Genomic DNA, 12,120 nt, shown 5'->3' with positions numbered 1-12,120 from the left:
CAGGAAATCTGGTTCCCAGAACTTGTGATCTTAACTATCAGGGCTGACTCTTCTGTGGCTGATCTTAACTATCAGGATTGACTTTTCCTGATAATTATATCAGCTACCATTTATTGAGCATCCATTAAGTCACAAACATTAGCTAGTGCTGTATATACATTATATATATCCTTAGAAGAATCCTTCAAGGTAAGTATTACTGTCAACATTTCACAGGTAAGAAATTGAGGCTAACAGGGGTTAAGTGACTTGCTTAAGGTCACAAGCTAGGAGTAGAAGAGACAAGATTCAGACCCAAGTTTTTCTGGCTCAAAGCTCTGGTTTTTCCCACACAAAGTCACAAAGCTTCCCAAAGAACTTTTAACTGAATTCTTTCTCTCTTCCAAAGACTGGATCACCCTGTCTTGCTGATTCCCAAATGGCCTTCTTGCATCTCTTCCATTCTGCTTTACCCATGTGTGAGAAGTCCTCCCAACTCTTCCTCCAAAAAGGACTCAACAATGACCTAAGGTTCTACATGAACTGGGCCCATGCAAAACACACCAAAGAACCTTCTGTTAATTTCTGAACAAAGGCATCTTGAGCCATGGAGAAGGGAAGCCAACCCTTGCAACACCAGATGCTACATCTGGGCAAAATCTTTCCTGAGGGAACAAACAGCTCCCAAATATGTCCAAAATGAGTGAGTGACGCACTGGTCCCAGGAAGTCAGGGGTTCTCCCTCCCGGGAGCTTCATGTTTCCTGGTACTTTCCTTCTCAAGGTCACTCCATAAGTCAATGAGGAACCTTCTGGTCTTCCACCCTTTTCCGATTTGCAACCACAACTATAACATTTTCCATGGCCAGCTGACTCTATGCTTTTCAACCCAATGCTATCCTGTGAGACTGGTGAATGACTTTGAACTCAACTCCAGGGGAGGAACCCATCCGCAGTAGTGATGTAACTACAGAGATGGCGCACATTCAAATACTGGGCCTGAAGCCGAGAACACAGACTCTACAATAATTTTTCTTTAATTAATTGTGTAACTAACCTCCCACTGAAAGGAGTATTGCAGGTTGAATGTCTACCAAATTCTTAAGATACCTAGGCCCTGCTCCCTCACATCACTTCCAATAGTGACACAACTGATAACCAGCCAAACAAGAAAGTTTACTTTCTATGTCTACCTCCTTGATATTCTGCTAATTTAATATTAGTGAAAATAGGAGATTGTCTTATTCTTCTCTATCTCCAGTACTAAACCCAATTCCTGATACATAATTAGGTTCCCAAAATGTATACTCAATGATACACAAATAAATATATCATTTAAATTCCTTTATACACTCTGTAATCTGAGTATCACAGATGATACAAAGGAAGTTTCCCCTTTGTTCTTCTAAACCCTTACTATTGGAAATCACAAATATTTCCACAGTTTCAACCATCCCCTCTGTGCACGTGTGCAAATCTCTACCAACAGCCAAAAAATCTCTTTAGCCCTGCATACAGCCATTCATTTTGTCAACTACTAGAAATTTCAGCTTCAATACTCTTCCAACACCTTAAACTTAAAATCCAAAACCAAATTTCTCATATTTTACTCCTTCAAAAACAATTCTTTCTCCTAACTTCTGTTAAAAAACACTAGATTTCAGCTGGGCACAGAGGCTTATGCCTGTAATCCCAGCACTTTGGGAGGCCAAGGTGTGCGGATCACCTGAGGTCAGGAGTTCAAGACCAACCTGACCAACATGGAGAAGCCCTGTCTCTACTAAAAATACAAAATTAGCCTGGCGTCGTGGCGCATGCCTATAATCCCAGCTACTCAGGAGGCTGAGGCAGGAGAATAGCTTGAACCTGGGAGGCAGAGGATGCAGTGAGCTGAGATCGTGCCATTGCACTCCAGCCTGGGCAACAAGAGCGAAACTCCATCTAAAAAAAAACCCAAACAACAACAACAACAACAACAAAAAAAAAAAAACAAAAAAAACAAAAAAGCCCCTCTCTATTTCTTTTAAAGATACCATTAATTTATCAATCACCCAAGTCAAAAAGACACTTTACAGACCTCTTTCTTTTATGGCTTCCAAGCTCACTTGAAACCTGAATCCCATCAGTCAGCAATTCCTGTAGATTCTTCCTGTACCAGGTGCTTTCCACCTGTCTCTAGACTGTAAGCTCTAGGAGTACAGGGGTGGGTATCTGGCATGTGTCTGGCACATGGTAAGAAGATATATATTTGCTAAATGGACAGAAGGATAAATTCCCCTTCTTTTCATTCCTACCATCCCAACCTAATTTAGATCCTTATGATCTACTGCAGCAACTGGTTTCCTTGGTCTCATGTTTCTTGTCATTTAGCAAACTACCACTAGGTTAATCTTCCTTAATCAGAGTTCATACCTATTTAAACCATCAGTGGTTTCCAGTGTCTATTGCATAGAGCCAAATCCCTAATCAAGAGTCAAGGCCCTCCACAATACAAACCCATCTACCTTTGTCCACTTCTTCCACATCCACTTATTCTCCCAGCTAAACCAGTCTACTCACTGTACCTCAAAAGTGCTTTGTTCTTTCTTCTAGCTGTGCCCCTTTTTCCTAGAGTATCTTCCCCTCCCTCTCAAGAGCCATTTTCTTTAAAGCTTTGTTCAAATCTCATTTCCTTACTGAAGTTTCCTGTCTACATCAACTGAGCCTCATCTCTTCTGCAGCATATACTTAGTACTTACTACATATAGCCTTATGTTGAAGATTTGTATTCTTGTATTTGAATTTAATTTCTCCCTGACTAGATTATAATTTCATATGGGAAAGAACTACTCCTTTTATTTCTTTGGATCTCTGTCCTCTAAGAGTTTAGAACAAAACCTCTAAAATAGTCAACAAATATGTGTTGAGGAGAGAAAGAAGCTGGGAGAAACGCTGAAAAGATACTGACAGTGGGTTATAAAATAGCAGAAGGTCTCTGCAAGGAACACAGCAGGACAGAAATGTAGAAGTATTGCTCTAAAAACTCAACAGAAAAAAAAAAGCTACCTAAAAAAATGAGCTATTAAAAGCAGGAGATCAAAACCAAGTGAGCTATGACCGAAAGGTAATTTACAGCAAGTCTATTTAAAAAAAAAAACAAACAAACAGCCAATGCATTATCAATTAGAGTCCTGCTGGGCCATATTAACACAGATTCCACTTAAAAGAGACAATCAAAGGCTCAGCAACAAATAGGAATACATTTATGCTCTTCAAGGAGCCAAAGAAAATGCAAGAACATCTTCCCTAGAAAGGCTTCCTACCCTCGCATAATACTTTACCACTGCTCTTGATCAAACCAGGCTGACAGAATTTCAGACATTAGCAGGGTCTTCCCACAATTCACAGGGATGGGGGAAGCCATGTTACCTGTCTTAAACAAAGCAGAATAACATAGGGTCAAATAATCGCTACAGTTCTATCTGCAGCATCTCTCATTCTCTGGGGGAAGGAGAAAGAAGGAGAGGGATGGAACCAGAGGGTCAGGCTGCCATGGAGTCAGAACTGTACAGGCTTTAATGAGGATGTCTGCACTGAGCGCAATGTGGGAGAGGACAAAAGGTGAGCAGGAGCAGAGCAGAGTAGGAAGCAAAGCCAAAGGCTGACAGCGTAATGGCTTCCAGGGGAGGAGGTGTCCAAAAGATGAAGAACGCAGTTCAGCAGCGTCCATCCCTAAATGCAATCACTTAGAACTGTAAGAAAATACCCAACCTAACGCAGTATGAGTGGCTGAAACCCAGCCAGGGTAAGAAAGTGGCCTGGAAAAGGGTGAGATGAATCCATGTGGACTGAATTCAGCCCTGGCCAACCTGCTGCATCCCAAGTTGAATAGTTTCCACGTCCCTGAGATGGGTCTGTTCAGAGTTGCTGCTGGCAGCTGCTCTCCTGGCAGTACAGGAAGACAAATTCATGGCATTGCTAGCCCAACAGCTGCTACAGCTCCGGGGGAGGTGATGAGTGCCCGCTGAGATGTTCTGGGCAGAGAATGAACTATTCTGGGACCAGTCCTAGAGTCAGCAAAATCAAGGCTACAGTTCACCAACTGAATGAAAATACAGTACTATTGTCACTCCAGAGACCCAGGAAACCAAGAGCACTTTCTCTGTCCCAGCTTCTTTGAATTCCATTGATTCTTGTCCTCACACTTGGCCCCATCTTGTCTATTTCCAAGGGTATGACCTCAGTTTCAGCCCACATTAACCTCACCACTGGACTCCTTTCTTAACAGGTCCTCCTCCTTCCAGTCTCTCTGCTCCAATTGATCATATGCATCGTTGCCATAGTTACCCTTCGAAAGCACAGCCATAATTATGTTCCTTGCTCAAAAACTATCAATGGTCCCCCATGCTTACAGAATAAAGCCCGAACCCTGTCGCCTGGCATTCATAGACCTCTTTAATCTTCTGGCCCCTATCTTTTCCAGGTTTATTTCACTATCACATTTATAATTCCTGTTCTTCAGCAAAACAGATAAGTTATCCATCAGCCTTTGTTCTCACTTCTGTTAGCCTTTTCTAATACTGCTCTATCTAAAATGCTTCCTTTCCCATCTTTTCACCTTCTTTCTACAACTTCTCCATTGTCTCAACTGTATTAAGCTTAAAGGATCAATGCCTAGCACTGGCATTTTAATTTTTTTATCTCCCATCCATTGAACTTGACCTCCCTAAAGCCCTATCCAGTCCTCCAATCAGAAGAAATCTCTCTTCTTTGTGCACCTGTGGCACTCTGTATGGATGGGTGGCCATGGTCTTTCCTACACTTGTCCTTTCATACACCATGGCAGATGCTGCTGATTGTCCCCCAATATTTCCCCTTCTTCTATATTTAGAGAAATTCTACTTTATAGTCACCCAGAACAATAACTACACTTCCCAGCCTCCCTTGCAGTTCAGCATAACCATGTGACTAAGTTCTGGCCAGTCAGATATGAGTTGAAGAGCTGTGTGTGCCACTTCCAGAGTGCACCTTTAAAAAATAAGGCCATACCTGCCCCTCGTCCTGTTGCCTTTTCCTGCTGGCTGGAATGAGAACATGGTGGCAGTGAGCCATCTTGGGTCATACAGAAAAGGATAACACTCTCGGGATGGAATAAGAAGCCTGACAGCCCTGGATGGCTAACACCTAGACTATGACATCAGAGAGAAATCAACCTCTATCTTGTGTATGCCATTATTACTTGGGGTCTATTACATCAGCCAAACTTATATCTTTACCAAATCAGACATGCCTAAGATGCCTTTCCTATGCCAATGTCAAATTTTCAGTTGCCAGCAAATGTTTCAAGCTTGTCTTAGTGATGCTGACTGCCAGGTACCAATTCTGTTTCAGCAGGATGGTTGTCTCTGCACAGCAATGCTTGTGCTGTGCACACATTTTAACACTTGGTTATCTTTTGCAACACAAAAATGAGTGGAAATGGAAAAACAAAAGTGCTGTTACTAATGTTGCATTGAGAAGTAGAGGTCTCATCACTGTACTACTAAGATAAGGGCAGAACTCATCAGCTACGTGGACTCTTTAGGTATTCACTGAACTTGAGCAGGCAGGCCACGAGTTTAATTGTGGAAAAACAAACAGAACTAAAGACAAGGTATACAATGCTAAAAATATATCAGGTGAGGGATAATTTCGAATTTCACATATACACTTATTTATAATAATAGAACCTACCTACCCCACATAAAACTGTAGTTAGACATTCAACCATTTGACTTCTGTATACACTTTTAGGAATAAATTATGCATGAAAGTAGGATGTTGCCTGAGCCTCTCTTATTGAGTTTCTCACCACCTTGCCTGTATTAAATGCATTTGTACATATGTTCTATCTCCTCTTCTACCAGGCTGTACCATATGAAATTGCCATTTTGCCTTACAAAAAAACCCAGCAATTTCATATGTTTCACCCTAAGAGATTGAAAACATCTGGGTTTGGGGCTTGTTTTAGTCATCTTTGCATCTCTCACAATACCTTATACATGAGAGAGTATCAATAAGAAATTGCTCTTACAGATCTTCTACTTAAAACACTTCTAGTTCCATCAGACGCCACTTTCCCACCTTACCTTCTACCCTTTGCCTTAAAAAACAAAACTATTCTCTCTCTCTTCAGGTAGCTTTTGCTTCTCCTCATAGTAACTTTTACTACCAATGCAAAACTTTTATTGTCTAAGCCTGGGGTCCTGGATTTAGTTCTTTGTTCTCCTCTTTCTCTTCCCTGAATTCATATACTTTCATCTCTCCCACAATCACTTTTACTCCGAAGATTCTGCTAGCTATCCCCAGTCATAACCTCTTACCTCAGCAGTATGCCGTCTCCACCTGGATACCTGATGGCCTCGTACTGCTCTACACCCAAAACGTTCAAAGTAGGATCACCATTCAAAACAGATCTTCCCTCAACACCCCCACTTCTATCGTGAATGCCACAATTCTTCTAGGTCACCAGGGTAGAGACACTGGGTCACCTCTGACCATTATGGTTCTATGCTTTATCCAGTCAGTTATCCAGTCCTATTTAGTTTCTTGAATACCTTCTGAATATATTCCTACTTCCTTTCCACTCCCCCAACTTTTTTTTTTTTTTTTTGCTCTTACTTTGTGTGTAGATTACCCCAAAACCTTCATCCTGGCCTTCTGTTTTCCTCGTGTCTCTCTCCCCACCTAAGAACCCAGAGGACCCACTAAAATGCTGCCACATCCAATCTGAACTTCTCTGCTTGCTATCAAAGAGCTATCATTTGGGGTCTACTCTACTTATTTAACCTTATTTTCCACTGCTCTTGAAAATAGCTGTGTTCTCATATCTCTACTAAAGCTCTTTTCACATTATACTATTTACATAGCTCTTTTCCCTGTTAACCAGGGATTTTTTTTTTTTTTTTTTAAGACACAGGGTCTCACTCTGTCACCCAGGCTGGTGTGCAGCGGTGCAGTCATAGCTCACTGTAGGCTCCAACTCCTGGAGTGAAGCGATCTTCCCACCTCCTGAGAAGTTAGGACTACAGGCGTGCATCACCATGCTGAGCTAATTTTTTATTTTTTGTAGAGATGGGTTCTTGCTATGTTGCCTAGGCTGGTCTCAAACTCCTGGCCTCAGGAGATCCTCCTATCTTACCCTCTCAAAGTGCTGGGGTTACAGGCATAAGTCACCATGCTCCGCTTAAACAGGAATTCCTAAGTTTATGTTAGTTCCTATAGGAATCAACACAGAGCACAGTACTCAGTAGGTATTTAAAAGTAATTTGTTGAATAAGTAGACTGATTGTTACCCAGAATACGATCAGGCAGGAAGCTATTGGAGTAAACCAGTTATAAAGTGGAAAAGTTGCCCTCTTCCAGGTTCTTGTGCCACCTTGTATTAAATACTTTCCTTCCACAACACTTACCCCAACTTTAAATTACATATCTAATTGTGTGATTTGTTAAATGCCCATTTCTTCATCTAAGTGCTAAGTGCTAAGTGTAGCAGTTTGTTCCCTGCTACACTCCAAGGCACAAAGGAGTTCAAGGAATGTGCAATGGAAATCAGTTAGATGAATGTGTTAGGAACCTTCCCTTTAATAAAGCTGGATCCCACACTAGCCCCTACACCCTCTCATCACCAAATATTCCTGCTTCCTCTCACCTGCACTTGCTGTTCTCTCCTCTGCCACACAAATCTACCTCTCAAGCCTAGGTCCCACCTGCTTCATGACAACTTTCCAGACTATTCCAGAACCTTTAACCATCTCTGACCTCTCATCAGATCTATGTTGTACATAACACCAATTAATGAGATCATTACTGCTTTATGCTCTAATTGCTTCCTGTATTCAAAATCTTCTCTCCAACCACATAATGACTCCCTAAACTTCTCTTGTATTTTCCAATGCCTTGTACAAGCACAGAACTGGTCAATCAATAAATACTCACTGGTTATTTGAGGAAAAAATGTTGCCAAGCACCATCTTTATCAGAAAATAAATCAATTCTTCTAAACTTGGAGAAATCACCCTATTCCTAGTATGTGATCTTAATTAGAACAATTCAGATTGAGAGGTGACAGCATGCTGGCAGTCCTCAGAGCCCTCGCTTGCTCTCGGCACCTCCCCTGCCTGGGCTCCCACTTTAATGGAATTCGAGGAGCCCTTCAGCACCCCCCCCTGCACTGTGGGAGCCCCTTTCTGGGCTGGCCAAGGCTGGAGCCCACTCCCTCAGCTTGCAGGGAGGTGTGGAGGGAGAGGCACGAGCGGGAACCGGGGCTGCGTGCGGCGCTTGCGGGCCAGCTGGAGTTCCGGGTGGGCGTGGGCTTGGTGGGCCCCGCACTCGGAGCAGCCGGCCAGCCCTGCTGGCCCCGGGCAATGGGGGACTTAGCACCCGGGCCAGTGGCTGCGGAGGGTGTACTGAGTCCCCCAGCAGTGCCGGCCCATCGGCGCTGTGCTCGATTTCTCACTGGGCCTTAGCTGCCTTCCCGCGGGGCAGGGCTCGGGACCTGCAGCCCGCCATGTCTGAGCCTCCCACCCACTCCATGGGCTCCTGTGCGGCCGGAGCCTCCCCGACGAGCACCACCCCCTGCTCCATGGCGCCCAGTCCCATCGACCACCCAAGGGCTGAGGAATGCGAGCGCACAGCGCAGGACTGGCAGGCAGCTCCACCTGCAGCCCCGGTGCGGGATCCACTAGATGAAGCCAACTGGGCTCCTGAGTCTGGTGGGGACATGGAGAGTCTTTATATGTAGCTCAGGGATTGTAAATACACCAATCAGCACCCTGTGTTTAGCTCAAGGTTTGTGAGTGCACCAATCGACACTCTGTATCTAGCTGCTCTAGTGAGGACGTGGAGAACCTTTATGTCTAGCTCAAGGATTGTAAATACACCAATCGGCACTCTATATCTAGCTCAAGGTTTGTAAACACACCAATCAGCACCCTGTGTTTAGCTCAAGGTTTGTAAGTGCACCAATCGACACTCTGTATCTAGCTGCTCTGGTGAGGACATGGAGAACCTTTATGTCTAGCTCAAGGACTGTAAATACACCAATCGGCACTCTGAATCTAGCTCAAGGTTTGTAAATACACCAATCAGCACCCTGTGTTTAGCTCAAGATTTGTGAGTGCACCAATCGACACTCTGTATCTAGCTGCTCTGGTGAGGATGTGGAGAACCTTTATGTCTAGCTCAGAGATTGTAAATACACCAATCGGCACTCTGTATCTAGCTCAAGGTTTGTAAACACACCAATCAGCACCCTGTGTTTAACTCAAGGTTTGTGAATGCACCAATCGACACTCTGTATCTAGCTGCTCTGGTGGGGCCTTAGAGAACCTGTGTGTCAAAACTCTGTATCTAACTAATCTGATGGGGAGGTGGAGAACCTTTGTATCTATCTCAGAGATTGTAAATGCACCAATCAGTACCCTGACAAAACAGGCCACTCGGCTCTACCAATCAGCAGGATGTGGGTGGGGCCAGATAAGAGACTAAAAGCAGGCTGCCCGAGCCAACATTGGCAACCCGCTCGGGTCCCCTTCCACACGGTGGAAGGTTTGTTCTTTTGCTTTTTGCAATAAATCTTGCTAGTGCTCACTTTTTGGGTCCACGCTGCTTTTATGAGCTGTAACACTCACCGCAAAGATCTGCAGCTTCACTCCTGAGCCCAGCGAGGCCACAAGCCCACCGGGAGGAACGAACAACTCCAGACGCGCTGCCTTAAGAGCTGTAACACTCACCGTGAAGGTCTGCAGCTTCACTCCTGAGCCAGCGAGACCACGAACCCACCAGAAGGAAGAAACTCCGAACACATCTGAACATCAGAAGGGACAGACTCCAGACACACCACCTTAAGAGCTGTAACACTCACCGCAAGGGTCCGCAGCCTCATTCTTGAAGTCAGTGAGACCAAGAACCCACCAATTCCGGACACAAGATGACTTGGAGATTAACACATCTGAACCTTAATTTGTAACAAATACGTCCATAAGCTGAGAATATGATATAGTACTAAAAATCAAATGCTATTTTAAATTTAGGATGAGATTACCAACAGAATAAATCCAACTTTGAATCATTTTCTAAAGCAAATGATTCCTCCCCTAAGTCTTCATTTATCACATACTAAAATAACATTTTTTTATCAGATGATTCTCTTATCATAAAGAGAATAAGACTTGGGAAAGATAAGAAACTCTGAGGAAAAAAACCTCTGGAGGAAATTTTCATTCTGGCTTATTTTGAGATGTCATGTTCTCCTCAACCTTAACCCCATCTTCATTGCACAGAGCTGGCTTTTAAAGGATAATTTGTGTCCTGTATTATTAAGGCAATAAACAAAAATAGAAAATGGGGAAAATAAGATACACTTGGCACTAATTTCAAATTCATTCATTCATTTATTTATTCCACAATATTTAGTGCGCATCTACTATACACCACATATTATACTAGGCACCGTGGGACACCAGAAGATCAAACTAACTTATACAGTCCACTCAGAGAAGATAACAGAAGGTAGATAGTGCTGAATGCCCTAAGAGAAGAACAAATAAAATGCTGTAAGAATTCAGAAGATGGAGAACTTTCTTCCTTCTGGGAGAATCAGGAAAGTTTCCTGGAACAGGGAGCACCTGAGATGGGTCTTAAGACATGGGCATGGCTTAGACATGCAAAGATGGAAAGACTGACCACATAACCTCAAGTAACAGGATGCCAGTGACCCACTGGAGTGAATGTTCTGTTTGGCTCGGGTATAGTGGAACAGAAACAAGAAATAAGGTTGGAAACCTGTTTGAGGCTTTCCAGATGTAGAGGGGCTTAAAGACCAAGCCAAAAAGCGTGCACCTTTGTGAATGGAACAGCATTTCCCAAATGTCAATGTGCACACAAATCACATGCTATGTTGTGGGATCTTGTTATAAGGACTGGAGTAGGACCTAAGATACTGCATTTCTAACAGTACAGATGATGCTGACACTGAGAAACTACAATTTGATATCAAAAACATAGATGGGCTGGGTGTGGTGGCTCACACCTGTAATTCCAGCACTTTGGAAGGATGAGGTGGGAGGATCACTTAAGGCCAGGAGTTTGAGACCAAACTGGGCAACATAGCGAAACCCTGTCTCTACAAAAATTAAAATAAAATAAAAATAGCTGGGTATGATGGTGCACACCTGCAGTCCCAGCTACTCAGGAGGTAGGCTGAGGCAGGAGGATCACTAGAGCCCAAGAGTTTGAGGCTGCAGGGAGCCAAGATCACGCTATTGTACTTCAGCCTGGGTGACAGAGCAAGACCTTATCTCTAAAAATAATAATAATCATAATAAAAAGAACATAGACAATGGAGAGACATTGAAAGTTTTGCAGAAAGAAATTCTCTGATCGCCAGTGTGTTCCAGGAAGATTAACTCCGATCACAATGGAGCAGGCAGATTGGAATGGAGAGAAACTGTAGACCAAGCTTGTCCAACCTACGGCCTGTGGGCTGCATGGGGGCCAGGATGGCTTTGAATGCAGCCCAATGGAAATTTGTAAACTTTCTTAAAATATTATGAGGTTTTTTTGCAATTTTTTTTAAGCTCATCAGCTATTGTATTAGCATATTTTATGGGTGGCCCAAGACAATTCTTCTTCTTCCAATGTGGCCCAGGGAGACCAAAAGATTGGACACCCCTGCTGTGGACTGTGATCCTCAATGCTGGCTGTTCATTAGAATCACCTGGGAAGCTTTTACACCACCCTGTTACCCAGGCCTCACTCCCAGAGATTCTCATTTAATTGGTCTGGAGTGGGGCCCAGATTTCTGTATTTTTTTTAAAGTTCTCCAGGGAATTCTAATATGCAGCCAGGGTTGAAAATCTCTGCTATAGAAGATCTAGTAAATACTGCAATCATTCAGGCAAAAAAGATGATGATCTAAACTAGGGCAATGGCACTGGGAACCAAGTGAATGGGCCAGTTGTATAAAATAAACTAAATGTAGAAGAAATAGACCTTAGCAGCTACCTAGACAGGGATTTAGATGTAATGGCCTCAACATCATTTATTTCTTCTAATTAAAGACAGTTTGGTGAAATGGTTAAAAATATAGACCCTGCAGCCAGACTGCCTGGGTTTGAATTCC

General features: G+C 43.3%; 1 protein-coding gene across 15 annotated transcripts in view; it reads right to left on the bottom strand.

The window, feature by feature from the left end:
* Positions 1–12,120, bottom strand: part of SRGAP2 (SLIT-ROBO Rho GTPase activating protein 2) — a 260,896-nt gene that overhangs the window by 148,363 nt on the left and 100,413 nt on the right. The gene's annotated exons all lie outside the window — the stretch shown is intronic.

The sequence above is a fragment of the Homo sapiens genome, chromosome 1, assembly GCF_000001405.40.
Source record: "Homo sapiens chromosome 1, GRCh38.p14 Primary Assembly".
Lineage (NCBI taxonomy): Eukaryota > Metazoa > Chordata > Mammalia > Primates > Hominidae > Homo > Homo sapiens.
This window is presented reverse-complemented; position numbering and strand designations above follow the sequence as displayed.